This window comes from Homo sapiens, chromosome 2 (assembly GCF_000001405.40).
Source record: "Homo sapiens chromosome 2, GRCh38.p14 Primary Assembly".
Lineage (NCBI taxonomy): Eukaryota > Metazoa > Chordata > Mammalia > Primates > Hominidae > Homo > Homo sapiens.
In genome coordinates, this window is record NC_000002.12 from 186,025,112 (window position 1) to 186,045,162 (window position 20,051).

Below are 20,051 nucleotides of genomic sequence, written 5' to 3' on the forward strand. Positions count from 1 at the left end.
TCCAAGAAAACAAACAGATGTTTTATCTAATCCTGTGGGAGTGATTTTGTGAATCAATGACTGATTTCTTTTTCTTAGAACTTTTTGTTGTAACAGAGAAATAGGTGGTCATAATGTCTGTTGAATTTAACAAGTACAAATCATGGAATAAAAATAGAGTAATTTAAATTATAGGATAAAATGGCATGCTGGGTTAATTATGGATGCTCTTATTCTAAAACTTATAATGACTTTATTTTTCATCTCCTATTCTTGGAAACATATATTTTGGTTAATTTGAGATGGAACAGAACAGAGCCCTCAGAAATAACGCCACATATCTACAACTATCTGATCTTTGACAAACCTGAGAAAAACAAGCATTGGGGAAAGGATTCCCTGTTTAATAAATGGTGCTGGGAAAACTGGCTAGCCATATGTAGAAAGCTGAAACTGGATCCCTTCCTTACACCTTATACAAAAATCAATTCAAGATGGATTAAAGACTTAAATGTTAGACCTAAAACCATAAAAACCCTAGAAGAAAACCTGGGCATTACCATTCAGGACATAGGCATGGGCAAGGACTTCATGTCTAAAACACCAAAAGCAATGGCAACAAAAGCCAAAATTGACAAATGGGATCTCATTAAACTAAAGAGCTTCTGCACAGCAAAAGAAACTACCATCAGAGTCAACAGGCAACCTACAGAATGGGAGAAAATTTTCACAACCTACTCATCTGACAAAGGGCTAATATCCAGAATCTACAATGAACTCAAACAAATTTATAAGAAAAAAACAACCCCATCAAAAAGTGGGCGAAGAACATGAACAGACATTTCTCAAAAGAAGACATTTATGCAGCCAAAAAACACATGAAAAAATGCTCACCATCGCTGGCCATCAGAGAAATGCAAATCAAAACCACAATGAGACACCATCTCACACCAGTTAGAATGGCAATCATTCAAAAGTCAGGAAACAACAGGTGCTGGAGAGGATGTGGAGAAATAGGAACACTTTTACACTGTTGGTGGGAATGTAAACTAGTTCAACCATTGTGAAAGTCAGTGTGGCGATTCCTCAGGGATCTAGAACTAGAAATACCATTTGACCCAGCCATCCCATTACTGGGCATATACCCAAAGGACTATAAATCACGCTGCTATAAAGACACATGCACACGTATGTTTATTGTGGCATTATTCACAATAGCAAAGACTTGGAACCAACCCAAATGTCCAACAATGATAGACTGGATTAAGAAAATGTGGCACATATACACCATGGAATACTATGCAGCCATAAAAAATGATGAGTTCATGTCCTTTGTAGGGACATGGATGAAATTGGAAATCATCATTCTCAGTAAACTATCGCAAGAACAAGAAACCAAACACCGCATATTCTCACTCACAGGTGGGAATTGAACAATGAGAACACATGGACACAGGAAGGGGAACATCACAATCAGGGGACTGTTGTGGGGTGGGGGGAGGGGGGAGGGATAGCATTGGGAGATATACCTAATGCTAGATGACGAGTTAGTGGGTGCAGCGCACCAGCATGGCACATATATACATATGTAACTAACTTGCACATTGTGCACATGTACCCTAAAACTTAAGGTATAATAATAATAAATTAATTTAAAAAAAAGAGATGGCTATTTTAGAGGATTTGAGGTAATATAAATTGGCATAGAAGAGTTCCTGGGACAAAAATTTAGTCTGTAAGTCATTTTGTGGGAGCTATTCAATGATAATGATAACATTAAAATAAGTTTATTCTGGGAATGTAAAAGTCTCTAGGTATAAAACAGATTGACTATAGACTATGATAGCTTTGGAGTGGCAATGAGCAAAAAAATATAGTCAGTTCCAAGCATATATTAACCACAAGTCAGTACTAAGCCTTCAAAATGCATCTGAAGACAGAAAAATCCTCAAACTTCCAAGGGTCTTCCAAAATCTTAATTGTCTCTGAAAGTAGGCCCAAAAGATGTTCTTAAAAACTATACATATGTACCCTCAGGATCTCTCTTCAGGCAGGTAAAAATATTTAAATAAAATGAAAATACATTTTTAATTAAAAAAAGAACACAAGTAATACAAGAAAAAAACAATTACAAAGAGAACCAAAGATCCGGCACTTAGCCTAGTCTTATATTAGAAATTGATTCAGATTACACTTTAAATAATTGTCTCAGAATATGACTAGTTTTTATTAAAAATTATTGAGTTAATTAATATGAATATTAATATAACAACTAAACTTAAAATTTATTTTAAATTAGATTAGTGCCTATCTTTTCTAAATGTTTCAATGTAAATACATATATTGTGATTGGGCAGCCAGAAGCTAGAATTCTAACTCAACTCGTTGGCAATAAGAAAGATCTGATACTCTGCATAGTGAAATATGATACCAGCAACTCAAGATTTTGTTAAAGATTTCAAAAATCCATGTTTTTTCTATTGTTCTCCTTAGCCACTCTCACAGTGTTTTCTCTGCTAGTTTTCTTCATGGCCATAGAAAAGCTTCCACATCCCCAAGTAGATTAGACAGCATACAGAAAATAAGACAGTTCTATATATTCCTTTATGTCCCTTACTAAGAGTTAGGAAATAATGCTTGGAAACCAGTCATTGCACATCACCTCATATCTTGTTCAGAGAAGTGTCATATGCCTATTCAAAATACAATTCTTGGCAAAGGGAATCAGGTTATATTTACATTAAGTATGGGGTCATACTATGTCTTTCAATAGTTGAATGTATAGTTAAATGGGGGTACATCCAGACAACTGAACATTATTCATCACTACCAAGAAAAGAACAATTTAGCCATAAAAAATACAGGGAGAAATCTTAATGACGTATTATTAAGTGAAAGAGGCCTATCTGAAAAGGGCCTCTTTCATACATACTGCACAAGACAGTCTGATAAAGATGCTAGGGACAAGGTAAAAAGATCAATGGTTGCCAGGGGTCAAGGGAAGGAGAAGTGAGTAGGCAGAGTTTAGAGGATTTTTAGGGTAGTGAAACTACTCTGTAGGATACTATAATACATGTCATTACACATTCATCAAAATCCACAGGAAGGACAACACCAAGGAGTGAACCTTAAACTATGGTCTTTGGGTAATAATAATGTGTCAATATAGGTTCATTGATTGCAACAAATGTACCACTCTGGCGCAGGATATTGATAGTGAGGGAGGGGAGCTGTGCATGTCTGAGGTTAATGGGTATACAGGATCTTTTGTACTTTCTGTTCAGTTTTGCTGTGAACCTAAAACTGCCCTAAAGAATGTACTGTTGTTTTAAAAAGCAAGTTGCACAGAGATATTTTAAAAATAAACTCTACAGACAGAGAACTACAATTTCAAATCATAAAGAGGAAGTCCGATCATGTAATACTTTGGGTAAATAAGTCAAAATCATCATTTAAAATTGATACAGAAAGTGAGACCTTAAAATGCTGATTAAAAAAATTATTTTCCAAGTCGAATTATCAGTAGATGTTTTCTGCTTTTTAAAAATATAGGCATCATAGTAAGTTCATCAACACTGGTTCCAATAGATTTGATCTTTCTTTTTCTCTTGTTCCTAAGAGGCTTGAAGTCTTTATATAAATTGGTTTTGTAAAATTTGGAAAGCTAATTCCTTTTGTATTGACTCTCAATGAACCTATTGTTGAAACCTGCAGATTCTGAAGAGTGTGCCCTTTTCTTTGCATGATGCATAACACTTCATTATTTCACCATATCAGATTTTTCTCATAAAGAGATAATTAATGAACAATGATATATGATTATACCAAATAATTCTAGATTTAAAAATTAAGAAAAATGACTAATAACTTAATTCCATGAAGTTGAATACATACAACATATTTAGTTAGTGAGACATTTATCTGACGTCTTGGAGGACAGGGCACTGTACTAGGGGCCGTTTGACAATGTAAGATGAAGAAAAGGTGTAAGCATCAGGAAACCGCACATATAAGGAAATAACATTTAGAAAATTTACTAACAACACTGTGCCTGTTCTTTAGCCACTAACAATTTAGAAAAAAAAGGTAGGAGGGGCTTTATATTTTTCATCTGTTTTTGACCACATGACAAGTATTGCTTTTTGTCTGCAGATATGTAATAAAGGGAAGCAAAAGGGGAAAGGGAACAATTTCAAAAGGATAATAAAAGACAAAATCAGTAATTGTTTATACAACTTTGGTAGATAAAGGGTTATGTATTTAGATTACTATTTATATCATCATGGTTAAAACTATTTGGATGTAAATATATAAATCAAGGCTAGTCATTAAATTACAGCAAACCCTCAGTGATACTTAGGATTTTTCATCACCTGGAACTAGAGAAAACCAATAAAGGATATTCATAACCAATGTGGAGAGATACCTTGCAATTTCTGTGATCCTTGCTAGCTAATATGTTGTAGCCATGCATAAAAATTACAAATTGGCCTTTGACCAAAACTGGGACTTAGTAAGCTTATTTTTGTTATAGTCTTAAGAAATCTTTTCTTTAATCTTTGTGAAATTATTTTTATTGCTGTATTTTCCATCACATCTAGTCAAATTATTTTGCTTGTAATATTATTTATCATTCTTTGCTACATCTTTTCCTATTATTTTTACTAAGTAAATTTGTTTCTCCTCAAAAGCTCAACAGAAATTATATTTATTTTCCATTTTTATTCTGATGTATCAAAATGCATTTTATATGTTTATAGTGATGATTCTGGGTTTCACACTTGAGTAATATTTCTGAATATTTAAGTATGTATTTATATAACATTTTAAAATGTGACATTAAATTAAAAACAATCCATGAGACATTTAATGGAATACTTCAACTAATATGCATACTAATGTAAATTGTAAACATTAAATTTAAATATAAAATTATTTATAGCAAAAAATAAGAAATAATATAAATCAATTTTCTCAGGGCTGAATAACCTTATTCTGAAAGAATAAACTTGTTTCCACAATATATAATTGACAATAAAGTATAGTATGTATACCTGAATACCATAAAAATGTACAATTACTTCAAAACAAATTTAAAAACTGGGAGTAGAAACATTGAAAACAGAATTTATTTATGGTGATTTACTTGTAATTATAATATTTATTACTGTATATTCATGGTTTTATATGGATATAACCAGGATTATTTATGTTAACCATGACTGTATCAAAATAGATATATTATCAATTTATTTATGTTGTTTTTGTTTTCGTTTTTGTTTTTTTTGAGACGGAGTCTCGCTCTGTCGCCCAGGCTGGAGTGCAGTGGCATGATCTCGGCTCACTGCAAGCTTCGCCTCCCGGGTTCACGCCATTCTCCTGCCTCAGCCTCCTGATTAGCTGGGACTACAGGCGCCCGCCACCACGCCTGGCTAATTTTGTTTTTGTGTTTTTAGTAGAGACGGGGTTTTACCGTGTTAGCCAGGATGGTCTCGATCTCCTGACCACGTGATCCGCCCACCTCGGCCTCCCAAAGTGCTGGGATTATAGGCGTGAGCCACTGCGCCAGGCCTACGTTCTTTTAAAAATACATACATACAAAAGAACAGGAAAATACTGTGTAAACCTCTCAGAAAGAATAACTACTACTATAGAGTAAATTTAATGTATTTCTTTTTGTATAGCTATTATTTTTGGTGCATTTGAAAGTAAATTTCAGATACCCAAATATTTGTAAATAATTTAGCACACATCTCCAATAAATAGGGATATTACATATTCTAAAAGAACATATCAAAAGAAAACATCAAAAATATTAACTTAATTCATAATATGTTTTAATTCATTCTATATTCAGAATTCTCTAATTCTTACCCAAATTTCCCTCATAGCTATTTTTGGTAAACCAAGATGAAATCCACTTTCAAGAATTATATTTGTTATTGTATTCTGGTCTTTCTGCATTTGAGATTAGCCCTTGCATGTACACACCCACACAAACTTTTTGTTTATTTGTTTTGTAAGGCCATCGTTTTTTGAAGGCTACAATCTATTATTTTTCTGATTGTTTACACATAGTATTGTTTACACATAGTATTGTTTAATATGTTCCTCTATCAGGTAACTTGAACTAGAATTTTGGTATAAAATCTTGCTTTGATTCAAGATAAATATTTTTTGTATGACTACTTCATCAGTGATGTGGAATAGTCCATATTGCATCAAATCAGGAGGCACAGTGTCAATCATATATTATCTGTTATGATTTGTTAAACACATTAAATAATATTGAGAACACTATAGTATGTGTGTGTCAGGTGAGATACAATGAGGAAGTGAAACCAAAATACATTAAAAAAAAAAAGAAGTTTATTATTCCCAGGTCCAGAGTGGGTACAGGTGTTGACAGGAGGCCAATGGGAAGTCTGGAGACAAGAGTGTACTTGACCAGTGTGTAGAGAGAGGGATAGAGAGCAAGAACCAGTAAGACGTCTTTATTATAATCCACAGGTACTATTCTTTAGGCTTTCCCATGGGGCTGTGGATAGGCTAGCTTAAAGAAAACACATGAAGGGACGTCTTATTCACATGACTGGTGTTGATCATTAGTTTTCACTGTGGCCAGCAGCTGTGGCATGTGTTGAATTTGGGGTCAGTGAGATGGGGAACAACAGGGCTATATCACAAATAACCACTAAAGGAGGGAAAATTTTAATAAAACCAAAGGTGACAGGGCATGACTGGTCACCTTGACCATGACAAGCCAAAACTGGATGCTGAAGCAGCAACTATATTAGACAAATTTATGACACAAAATAATGTTCATCCCTATGCCTAGAGTTTGACTGTTTTACACTTATTACCTTCTGAAATAAAAAACAGTCCCTAAAACATTAAATCTCTGCTAGATGTTCCTTGATTCCTCCACAGTTGTCTCCAATGTGCTTGGATATAATGCTCTGCTTTTGTTTCAGGTTTTCAAACTTCAGATCTTACATAATGTCTATGTTCTGAAAGTTACTGCGAAGAGCTACTTTGCTATCACCACTCCTACCCTCTGTGAAGGGGTGAACAGCTACCCACCCAGGTGTACCCATAACCATAACAGTTTCAGGTTACCACACTATACTTTAGTTCTCACTGCACTAACAAACCATGCCGCAGTGGCATAATGACCAAAGAAAATGTTCCACTCCCAGATTCTGTGTGGCTTGGTCACTGAAGTCATGCTGCTTATACATAAATCTCAAAGTGTTTTCAGGTATCTGTCTACTTTCATCCTCCCCATTAGACCAAGTTACTGGAACTAGGAAAGCAAATAAATAGCACTTCCCTGTGTTTTCTGGTCTTTCCTATCTTTCTAGTATGTGCTTCCTTCATCCAACATTCTCTCACATGTCATCACAATACCTCTTGTGAATAAATGCCTAGAGTGTCACCAGCCTCATAGTCAGTTTCAGTTCATCATGCTGGTTGGAGTCAGATTGATCTAGATTCAAAATTGAACTAAGCCACTTACTATAATCTTGGACAAGTTCCTTAACTTTTCTGAGTTTCAGTTCCTTATCTCAAGAAAAATGGAAATATCATTACATATACCACAGAATTTTGGGGGCTTAATACAAACAATGCACATAAATCATTTAGCTCAGTACCAGGCACATGAAATGTGTCAGTAAATATTACTAATTATTTATTGTGACATAAAAACCATTACCCACCCATGTAATTTCTTCCAGTGATTTCTTAATTCCTCCAAAATTATTTGACATATCATTAGGTACAATACTCTGTTTTTGCTTTTTTTTTTTTTTAACGTTCCAGATACCGCATAATGTCTAATTCTGAGGAAATTAAACTGCAGCTAGAACTAAAGAAAATGCTCAATTTCCTAAAAGCCAAACACTTGGTGGTATGTTATTTCTAGCCTCATTTAAGAAGAAAGACCTATGCAATTCAGCATAATATTATAGATATACTTTTGTCGCTTCCAGCAAAGTCTCAAAGTTGTCAATCATGGCCTCGTACATCAGTAAGACAGCTCTCCAGAGACATTACACAAGGCAAATCTTTTAATATTTTATCAGCTGCTGTTGATAGGAGGCAATTCAGCTTAGTGAGTCTTTTTATTACTTCCTTTCATTTATTCTTGAGAAGCTTTTATCTCTGTTTATTGATTGCCACCTTTTAAATTTTTATTTAACATCACTAAGCATAGAAATATGATTAATACATTTGATTAAAATTGTTAGTAGAAAATTACTTTAAATGAGCTTTCACAAATTTAATGTACTAATTTTCTCATAGACTTTTTTGCGTATATCTGTATCCACTCCTTTGTTATGGTAGTTCTCTGAAGACTGATACTCAAGTGAAGGAGAAAGTAGAATTGTAACTAAAGAGAAGCTCCACATCGAGGGGAAAATTCTTTTTTAGGCTATTTTTAGTAGAGCAATACACAAGGGGACACATGCCAAGGATCAATCATAAACCTCAAAAAAAAAGAAAATAACATTTACAAATATATAGAGAGATAATATTTATTCTCAAAATGACTTAGCTTTGCTTGTACTTCTTCCTGCTAGTATGGAACCCCAAATAACATCCAATTGTCGCAAGAGAAATTTGCTAAGCAGGCGGAAATATGATTCAAGAGCCTCTTTTAGCTTACAGCCAGAAACTTGCTGATTTCAATCTTTCCCATATTAGCAGCTGCAAAAGGAGCAAAGTGAGAGAGAGTTAGCAGAGCTAACAAAAATTCATTAGACTCAATAAATTTATAAAACTTATTAAGACGTCATTGCTGAGGTATCATGGTGCATCTCGAAAGGCTGCTGCATTAGCAAGCTTTACTATGGGTGCTCTCCTCAGCCCCTTTAATCTTATGCTGACCAGTTGTGTTTCTGAGACTAGCTGGGGTGAGGTGAAGGATCTGCTTTATGTTGTTGTTGTTATTATTATATAATTACCAGATAATTCTGTCAAGTATATGAAATTGGGAAACTTTGAACTAATCCTGACAAGGATGGTTGCTCACAGAACCTCAGAGAAAATGTTTTAAAGGTCAGCTCTACTATAAGGTTTTGGGGAAAAAAGAACCCTTGCTAACTTGCTTTTTCCACACATCCTTCATGTTCATAGTGGCAATGTCCACAAAGCCAAAGTGGTGGTATGAACCGAGGGAAAAGGCGTCCAAAGAGGCCACGACTTGCTTTCAAACTCCACTTAAGCCAATGGAGCAAAAAAAAAGAGTTTAAACTCATAATTTCTCCAAGGTAGCTAACTAATGTAAAATAATTCATTTTCTAGAAATGTCTTCTTTGCCCATAGCCCTTGTGAACTTTTTGAATCAGAAGCTGCCTAAATGAGCCAGGAAATAGAGGTCCTGGTGAAATCTTACTCATATTAGGAGACTCCATGAACATACATGAAATAGTGGCGTATTACTAGAACTGTTCTCAAACTCTCAACCTTGGCTGCACATTAGAATCACCTGGGAAGTTTCCATAAAGTCTTAATGCCCAGACCATCCCCCAAACCAACTAAATCAAAATCTCTGGGGGTAGACTGAGACATTCACTTTCTTAAGCTCCCTCAGGTACATAAAATATGGAGCCAAAATTGAGAACAAAATTGAGACGATATGTCCTGTACTTCAGCCAGGATTGATCTATTTTTTCAGTCCTTTAAAACCTATAAATGCATGCACACTCTCAACCTAAATAACAAACAGAGAGAGGCTCTCTAAAAGAAAATGACATTTGTTCGGGAATAGGGCATTGCAAAGGGGAACATGCATGCCATAGTAAACTATGTGAGTACTCAGGGAAGTAAAGGAAAACAAACATTTTTAAAGGAAAAAATGAGGAGAATTACAAAATTGTTTTGAGATAATTACCCTTTACTACAAGGACCAATAATAAGGGTGACACAATTCTGAGGTTTAACAGGCAATTGCCAGGTAAATATCCTCACAGACGGACTTTTAGTGTAATGTTTTAATGGCCTTTGGGCAAGGTTATAGTTTTTGCAGTCTTTTGTCATAGTTTTTGTTATCAGGCATTTACACATCTTATGGTTTTCTCTAACTCTATTTGTCAAGTTTTTTTTTTTTTCACAAGTTACTCCATTTTGATTCTGACAACTTTCACAATACAATCATGCACACATAATGATGTTTTGGTCAACAATGAACTGCATATACAATGGTGTCATAAGACTATAATACCATATTTTTCTGTACCTTTTCTATGTTTAGATACACAAATACAATTGTGTTAAAATGGCCTGCAGTATTTAGTACAGCAATATGCTGTACAGGTTTGTAGCTTAGGAGCAAGACTATACCCTATAGTCTAGGTGTGTAGTAGGCTACACCATCTAGTTTTGTGTAAGCACACTCTGTGATGTTCACACTAACAAAATTGCCTAACGACATTTCTTAGAGCATATCCCTATTGTTAAGTGATACATGACTGCAAACAAAAATTTATTAGTGTGGTCAACTATTTACTACTCGAAGGGTAAAAATAATTTACATGTAACACTTGTATGTGCTAGACACATGATGCATTTGCCCACATGGCGCAGAGAAATAAGTGCATCTATCTACCAGATTTTGATTTAATATAATTCTTCACTACCAGATTTTGATTTAATATAACTCTTTACTAAAGTAATTGGACCTCCTTGGAGAAATAGCTGACTGGGGCAGAGAAAGTAGGAAGTAGGTCTGGAAAATATTATTGTGCCAGAAAAATAATAAAGCACTTGAAGAATGATGGAGATATATCAAAAAGACAGAAAAGCTTGCTTGACAAGTGTTCCTTTGGCCAAATAGGGAACAATGTTGGCATTATAATAAATAAATTTACTGATCTAAACAAATAAATGAATATATTAAAAGTTTAGTAAAGAATAGAATGTTTACACAGTCTCAAAGTATCTCTCCACAAAATTCTTATTTATTACAAATGTAAAATGAATAGTTAGTTTTACAGTGAATTCTGACAGATATGCCTTTAACATAATCAAAACTAAGATCATAATAATGTGACAAATCAAAATCATATGCTTGCTCATAGAAACATAGCCTCACTTCTGTGATATTCCTTCCAAATGTGCATAACTAGAATTTAATCAATACGAAATATCAGACAAACTCAAATTCAGGAATAGTCTATAAAATAACAGGCCTGTTTATTCAGAAGCATCAAAGTTATGAAAGTTAAGGAAAGTGACACTACCCAGAACTTTCCAGACTATTGATTCAGTATGAAATAATACATTTTATACTCTCTGCCAAATGTTATAGATCATAAAATGCTTTCTAAAATCAAAGCATTTAAGCAATTTAAAAGTTATTTTTAGTTTAATGTTCATCTACTCATATTTGTAAATCAGAATTTTTTGTTGATGACCTAAAGCATTTTTTACTACTAGTAAATAACATGACCACAATCTATCAATAATCAAGGCTAAAGTGAATAGCTTTCTGTTAGAAAAGGAGGCTGTGTTTATTTTTTTTTTCCTAGTATACACTGGGAAGATAGAATAACAGCTATTTACTACTAATAACAATTCAAATATGGTTTTCATATAGCTAAAATAATCTAAGTTAAAAAATAAAATATTTTATTCTGTTAACATCTAAACTATAGATGTATACTTATCTTTGAATATTTGATTATTGCTAATTTGATTTTGAAAAGTATTTTCATCAAAATTGATTTTTTTTACCTCTATTATTACTAGCAACTTGAACTTTCATCAACTGAAAAGTAAGATAGTAACTGCTAACAACTGCGGTGCTTTAAATCTGTATGTTGCCAGACATTTGAATTATTTTCATATGGTTCAATAACTTTTTAAACAAACATAGAATTTATAGTCTTTGTCAGTTCCATTACAGTCCTCTTCTATAACATGGTTTAAAGTGAGAACTCTTTTCAAAATGATAAATGATATGAGAGCATGACCAATTATTTGTCATCACACAAGATAAGCTGATTGTATTCAGTATCTTCACTTGGGCTCTACTAGACCATATATAACCTCTTTGGGTTGTCTTATAGAGCACCTAAAAGCATTTTAGCCTGCTGGTTCAAGCAACCTATATGTCAAGCAGAAAAAATAAAGCCACCGTTCTCAGGTTTGTGTTTCCCCAAAGGAAGAAAACAGTTTGATGCAATTTGTCAAAAGCCTGAGTGGTACTTTAATGGGCAATTTACTTTAAATGGCTGCAGTTATTGCAGAACAAAGGTCCAAAGCTGGAGATAAAAAATCCTTTCCAAATGGTTTTACTCCAATAGATTTAATTCTCTAAGATTAACTAAGGATATCTAACTTCTTATACTCCCTATCTATCTAAAAGCAATAAAACTAATAGTAGAAATTTCTGAGTTTCTGGGATTTCTTCATCTTTAATATGTGAAACAAAATCAACTCCCTAAATCTGTCATTCTGTTAAGACATCTGAGATAAGAACCAAATCAACAAAAAGGACAGCAGCAGAATCCTAACTTCCCAAACTCAAGAGTGCTTCAGCTTTTGGGTAGAAGTTTCAAATAACCTAAACATTTTATTAATATATTTTATTAATATATACGTATATATGCACAAGTATGTGTGTTTGTGTGTATATATAGATATATTTGCACACATTTTTTGCTTCATAAATTTATTATTGAATAAACAGGAGATAATTTGAAAAGTTTTCACATTTTTGTATAAATGTAAGAGTATTTCTATTTTACCTTACATGCTGATTTGTAAACTACTGTAATTAATAATTTTCATGACAGTGATTTTAAGAAATGCCTACTAAGAAAAAAATTCATATTTTGTTCCTTTCATTTTTCTGTCATTTAATTCCATGTTAATATTTACAATATTTGAGATTTTTACTGGAAGCAGTACCATTATGATTCTGTATATTTTTATCTCCCTGCTCCAGCAATCTTGGTTCAAAAATTAATCCCAACCCGCAGAAGGCAGGAAGTGCTGAATGTGGATGTGTGTTTGCCTGAAGCTGACCAGAGTCCCACATATTCAGTTTCTATAGTATGGACTGATGCTAGAAAAGTGACCAGCCATCCTAGAGACACTGAGGACCAAAAAAAAAAAAAAAACAAACAAAAAAAAGAAGTGGTTCAGAACAAGAGACTGACATAGTAGACTAGAACAATTTGGGCTTCCTACCTGTCTTTCCATGTATTTCGTACATACTATAAAAACTAACCTTTTATGAAGGATCACATAAAGAAGAAAACTCCAGGAGAAACAAATCAGGACTGATTTTCTCAAAACTAGTCTCCGTTAATTCACAGTTGCCTTTAAGGACCTGCTAAGCAAATGAGTGTTAACTAGACTTGATAGATTAATTTTAGCTCATAGAAATACTGTATAAATTATTTATAATAAAATGTATGCATACTTTAACAGCCATATATAAAGTGATAACAGCTTGTAAAGTATTAAAAAGGTAAAATTTTATATTTATTACCAACTTCTATGCCCTACATAACAACACATAAGAACTTACATTTTATAATTTAATTTCTGTGTATATCCCATAGAGAAATGAATGCTTGGAAAGCCTCAACTTCAAAATGTAAACTTCCTCTTCATCAAAGGGAATTCTAAGCCATTGAAGAAAGAATGAACCACTAATATACATAATATAGATGAATCTCAAAATAACTTTGCTGAGTGAAAAATGCCGGAAAATAAAAGAACACATTGTGTATGATTTTAGTGATACAAAATTTCAGAAAAATGCTAACAAGACTATTACGACAAATCAGATCTGTAGTTTAATGGAGACAGGGATAACAGATTGACCCTACAAAACTTTTGGAATAGTCATTATTTTGATTATTGTTATGGTTTTACTGCTGTGTACATAAGCCAAGCTTATGAAATTGTATGCTTTAAACATGCACAATGTTTTGCATATCAATTTTCCTTCAATAAAGCTGTTAAATTAAAAGCAAAGAAAAGCATTTCTGAATCCTTAACATAGCTCAAATGTTAAAGGGAATTCATCTTTATTTTTTAAATTACTACTACAATTGATTATATCAAAGACTACACTACTGGCACTAATAGTGGTCTCATAAAACAGTCATATTTTACTTTGCACTTTTAAATTACACAATTTTCAAAGTATATACACACATATTTTTCAAAATCCCTATATACAAACCATTAAAGTTGTAAAAGAATTTTAAATTATTATATACAAACTTCACAAATATATCTGTATGCTTATAAATTTATCTTTACAGCACCAGAATGCTTACTTTTTACAGGGTTCTAAATTCTATTTTACTTTCTTAAAGTCTGATATTCTACAATTTTTCTTTGAATGGCATACCCCTTAAGCATAATGAAGGATGATATGAGTACCTCTTAACTTCTTGCAGAGTCTTGTCCAAACTTCTTATAGAACACTTCTTTTTCTCCTACATAAAAACAGGTAAAATAATTACAAAATAATGCTAAGGATTGGTTTTAAGTTTTAAATAACTCAACTATATGTTTATTCTAAAAATGTATGTGCATGCTACAATGACAAATAAACTAGATACTTAGTTATTTCTCTATAAAATTTTTCTTTGTTGTTTCTCTATCCAATTAAAAGTATTCTTTGAGATGCAAAGCATTTTTTAAAGCCACAGACTAGATATGCTTTTGCGAAACATATATCCGATAAAGGGTTTGTAACCAATTTATAAAGAACATTTATAATTTAATAAGACAACCCAATAAAATGGTAAACATTTTTGAAGAAATATTTCACAAAATAAGATATATGAATAACCAATAAACACATGATAATATGTTCAACATCACCAGTCATCAGAAAAAAGCAGACTAAAACCACAAGGAGATATTTTGAAGTATATTATTCAAAACATAAACATTTAGAACTGTTATAAAGATATATAATGGCATCATCTTTAAATTTGACTTGTTTCAAAAAATGTGAATATATTCTTCGAATAATATTTATTAGATTTTCTTGAATACCTTCTCTGTATATATATTTAGAATACATATGTGGTATGTGTCCTTTTTAAAAAGATTATACATATAATCTTTTATTCTTATAAAATCTAATAAAATATTCTATATAATCTTTTTAAAAATGTATATAATCTTATAAAACTTTTAAAAATAGCTTTTTCTTTTTTACTTTATATATAATCATTGTATATATGTACGGGTAAATAGTGATGTTTCAAGGCATGTAATATATAGTGAGCAAATCAGGGTAATCAGCATATTTATCATCTCAAATATTTATTATTTCTTTGTGTTGGAAACATTCAATATCTCCCTTGTAGCTATTTGAAAACATATATTATTGTTCACTATAGTCATCCCACTGCTATAGAACACTAGAACTTATTACTCCTATCTATCCCTTATTTTGTATCTTTTAACAAATTTATTTTCATTAGAGAAGACAGTTGACACTGGAGTGATAATTTATCTGAAAGAGACCCTTCCACTGGCACAGTCCAAAATCCTGTGTCATTCCTTATCAGACACTTATTGTTGTTAAAATAATCAGTACTACTAATACAACATTTATGTGGAGGCTCTTCCTGGTATATCTCTACTGATAAATTATTTCAAGTTGTAGTTCACCCTTAATATGCTCTCCAGCAGCTTCTTTAATTCTTGCTCGCTATTTACTAAAGAAATTTTATTAATCTTGATACTCTCTCAAATGCATAATTATCTTTTTATTAACTTTAATTTTTATATTAAAATAGAGTTCTTTTAAAACTTTAAAGTTTACTAAAAAATTGATATAATCAAAACAAGATTTTTAGCCAGGAGCATTTTAGACAAATTTGCCAACAGGCATTTTATTCTGCTATACTGTGTAGCAAGGTGACTAAGCAGGACAGCTGTGCAATCAGATTGCCTGTTAGTAAGGATGTGGAGCAATAGGAGCTTTAATTTATTGATAGTGGGAGTGCGAAATCCTATAGCCACAAAGCTGAACGTAAATTTACCATATAATCTGTTGCTTGTGTTCTTAGGTATTTACCCCAATGACACGAAAACTATGTCTACCCAAATACCTGCATATGAATCTTTATAACAGCTGTATTCATAATTACATTCACGTAGAGGCTTTCAATCTCTGGCTTTCTGATATTTTTTTAGCCATGAAATTCATTGCCAAGGTTCTGGCACCCTGAGTACTGGGGACAGCAGTGAATAAGAGAAGGCATGTTTTCATAAAGCTTACAATAGATTGAAGAAAGTACAATATGAAAAATATTGTAACAATGGAAACAAATAATATTAAAGGTGTACATTCAGCGTGCAGGGGAACATACAATGGGAGAGAACAGGAGGATGTATTATGCAGCATCTATCATGTACCACCTTGCTGCTAAAGTACTGCCTCTGCCTCCATGGTTCAAAACTGTCTTAGTGCCTTTTCTGTTGCTTATAGCAGAATATCTGAAACTGGTATTTTATGAAAAAAAATAATTCATTTCTTACAGTATAGAGGCTGAGAAGTCCAAGATCAAGAAGCTGCAACAGCTGAGGGCCTTGCTAGTAGGAAGACTCTGCAGAGTCCTGGGATGATGCAAGGCATCACATGGCAAGGGAGCTGAGTGTGCTAGCTCAGGTCTCTCTTCCTCTTCCTATAAGGCCACCAGTCCCACTCCATAACCCATGGATCCATTAACCCATTAATCCACCAATACATGAAACCACAAGTAGATTAATCCATTCATGAGGGCAGGGCCCTCATAACCCAATCACCTGTTAAAGGCCTCACTTCTTAATACTGTCACATGGGAGACTAAATTTCAACATGACTTCTGGAAGGGACGAATATTCAAACTAGAGCATTTTACCCCTGGCCCCCCAAAACTCATGTCTTTCTCACATACAAATCATTAATTCTAACCCAATAAGCTTAAAGTATTAACTTGTTCAGAATGAATTCAAAAGTTCAAAGTCCAGAGTCTCATCTGTGAGACTGTGCAATCACAAAATATTATCTCCTTTCAAGATAAAATGGTGGTACAGGCATAAGACAGATATTCCCACTCCAAAAGAAAGGGGTAACAGGCCCCAAACAAATCTGAAACCCAGCAAGGCAGATATTAGTCATAAAGCTGAAGAATAATTATTTTGTACTCCATGTGCCACCTATTAGACACACTGGAATAGGGGTTGGACCCCTGAGGCCTCAGGTAGCCCCACCCTTACTGCTTTGGTGGGTACAGACCAGGTGGCTGCTCGTGCAGGGTGGAATCCAGTGCCTGAAGATTTCCCATGTAGGCATAGCATGCTACCAGGGACTACACAGTTCTGGGGTCCCCAGGGCAGCCTTGTTCCCACGACTCCACTAGGCATTGCCCTAGTGGGGACTCACTGTTGTGGCCATGCATCTATAAATCTACTAAGCAAAGCCCTGCTGGGAACTATCTGCAGCAGCTGCAACCCCACATTTCCACTTGTCCTGCTCTAATAGGGGCTCCGTTGGCTCCTTCCCTGTGACAAGTCTCTGTTTGGGCCTCCAGGCTTTTGACATCATCCTTTGAAATCTGGGTGGATGCTGCCAAGCCTCCACAGCTACTATTTTCTCCAAGACTGTGGAATTAGCACCACGTGGATGCTGCTAAGATTTATGATCTGCACCTTCTGAAACTGCAACATGAGCCACACCTGGGGCTGCTTGTGCCATTGCTGGGACAGCTGAAAAGCACTGTGCTGGGGGTGCAGGGACCAGAGTCCCGAGGCAGCCCTGGGGAGTGAGCCTACAGAGAGTGCCCTGGGCCTGTCTCCTAAAATCATCTTCCTTCCTAGCCCTCTGGGCCAGTATGGGAGGAGCAGCTTCAAAGATCTCCAAGATTCATTTGATGTCTTACTTTCATTGTCTTGAGGAATAGCACCCAGCAACCTTCTATCCATGTTAGTCCCTTTAGCAAAGAGTTCCTGGGCTACATCTTTGGTTTTTCCTCTCTTAATCATGTTTTTTTTTTTTTTCACTCTTTAAGATGCCAGGAGGAAATTTTTCTAAATCTTTCTATACTGCTCCACTTTTAATTATAAACTCCGTCTTTAAATTTTTACTTTACTCCCAAATCTCAGTGAAAGTAACCAAAAGTAACTATGCAGCTCCTTTTATATTTTGTTTAGCTATTTCTTCTGCCAGATACCCTAGTTCTTCACTATCAAGTTCCACAAAGCCCTCAGGCATGGATACAGTTCAGACAAGTTATTTGCAAATTTATAACAAGGATGAGCTTTACTCCAATTTTCAAGACCCTGTTCCTCAATACCATCTGAAGCCTCATCAGAATGGCCTTTACTGTCCACATTTCTGCCAGCATTCCAGTCAAAACCACTTGAGCAATCTCTAAGGAGTTTCAAACTTTCCCTAGTCCTCTTGTCTTCTAAGCCCTCACCAGAATCTAGGCTTTTTTTAGTGGCTCCTCCAAATTCTTCCACCTTCTGCCCATTCTCAATGCTGCTTCCACATTTTCAGGTATCACCTGAAACAACTTCATCAGCAATCCCCAACTTCTTGGTGCCAATTTACTATATTAGTCTATTTTATGTTGCTTATAACAGAATACCCCAAATTGGGTATTTTATTTTTTAAAGGAACTTATTTCTTATAGTTATGGAGGCTGAGACACCTGAGGTTGAGGGGCTGCATCTATTGAGGGCTTTGTTGCTGATAAGAACTCTCTGCAGAGTCCGAAGGTAGTACAGGGCATCACATAGAGAGAGGGCTGAGCATGCTAGCTTAAGTCTCTCTTGCAGTTCTTATAGCCACCAGTCCTACTCTCATGATAACCCATTAATCCATTAACCCATTAATTTATGAATGGATTAATTCACCCATGAGGGTAGAACCTTCATGACCCAATTGTATCTTAAAGACCCCAGCTCTCAACACTGCCATATTAAGGATTAAATTTCAAATGAATTTTGGAAGGGAGAAATTTTCAAACCATAGCAAACAGTATTGCCATTACTGGTGTTTTTAAAAATGCAGGATCTCAGGCCCTATCTCAGACCTGTGATCCAAAATCTGTACTTTTGCAAGAAAGTATATATGCTCACTAAAATTTGAGAACTGCCTTAAAAGCAACTGAAATCCACAAGACAAGAAATAGCTAAAAGGAATCAAGTTTATTAACTTCAAAATAGCGTATGGCAATTCCTGGTTTATCATTTCCAAACAAAGAAACTTCAATTATTTTCTTGGTATATCAGATTATTTTTATCTGTCAGTTTATTAGAGAATATCAATACAAATTGAGATGTTTAGACACTCAGTAATGTAAAACAATCTCACAAAACTATTGACAGTTTTTTTTCCCTTTATTATGTATTATGTTCCAGGAAAGTTGTATTATATACAGTCGTAGTCTCATTTAATCTTCAATACAGATGATGAAAGTAAAGTTCTTCAATAGATAGGAAATTCATTTAAAACTCAGTTTTGCCTAAATTGAGATTTTAGACTGCCAAAATACTTTTAACATTCCTGATTTTGATACAGCGTAAGTATCAGAATATTGCAAGAAACAAAACTGCTCTTAAAACTGAAGCTCCTTTAACAGAAAAATTGGGGTCAGGCCCTTTAGTATGTACCAGATAAATCCAGAATTAGTTTAATATGTTCTCTGGTCTGAAAGCAAAACATAATTGATATCTGATCAATGACAGTGTTGAGAGCACAAAGGTTTTCAGGCATTCCAGCAGGAAATCGATATATAATAAAGTTTTTAACTTATCAGGCATAACAAATGGCAACAAACATAATGAAAACCATATGGTAGTGGTTAAAGAGCTTGAGCAGAACATAAAATTTATAATAAAGGAATCATATGGTACATTTAATGTCAGTGCTAACTCTATTTCTCCACAAATAATGGCTATAAATTAGTGCAGCATGGTTGAATGACTCATTTAATTCTATCAAGTGATTTTCTGCGTAGTAATAGGGCATTTTTCTTTACAGCTTAATTTTTGGAATTGGCATAGCTGCTGCACAGAACTCAAGTCAGTACCTA

General features: G+C 34.1%; 1 long non-coding RNA gene across 1 annotated transcript in view; it reads right to left on the reverse strand.

Moving 5' to 3' along the window:
* Positions 1–8,419: 8,419 nt before the first annotated feature.
* LINC01473 (long intergenic non-protein coding RNA 1473) overlaps positions 8,420–20,051 on the reverse strand; it is a 52,787-nt gene continuing 41,155 nt past the window's right edge. The window contains exons 4-6 of the long non-coding RNA NR_110218.1: positions 14,389–14,444; positions 13,220–13,324; positions 8,420–8,691 (exon numbers count right to left, since the gene is read on the reverse strand). This is a non-coding gene — a long non-coding RNA (long intergenic non-protein coding RNA 1473). The remainder of the gene's footprint in view (positions 8,692–13,219; positions 13,325–14,388; positions 14,445–20,051) is intronic.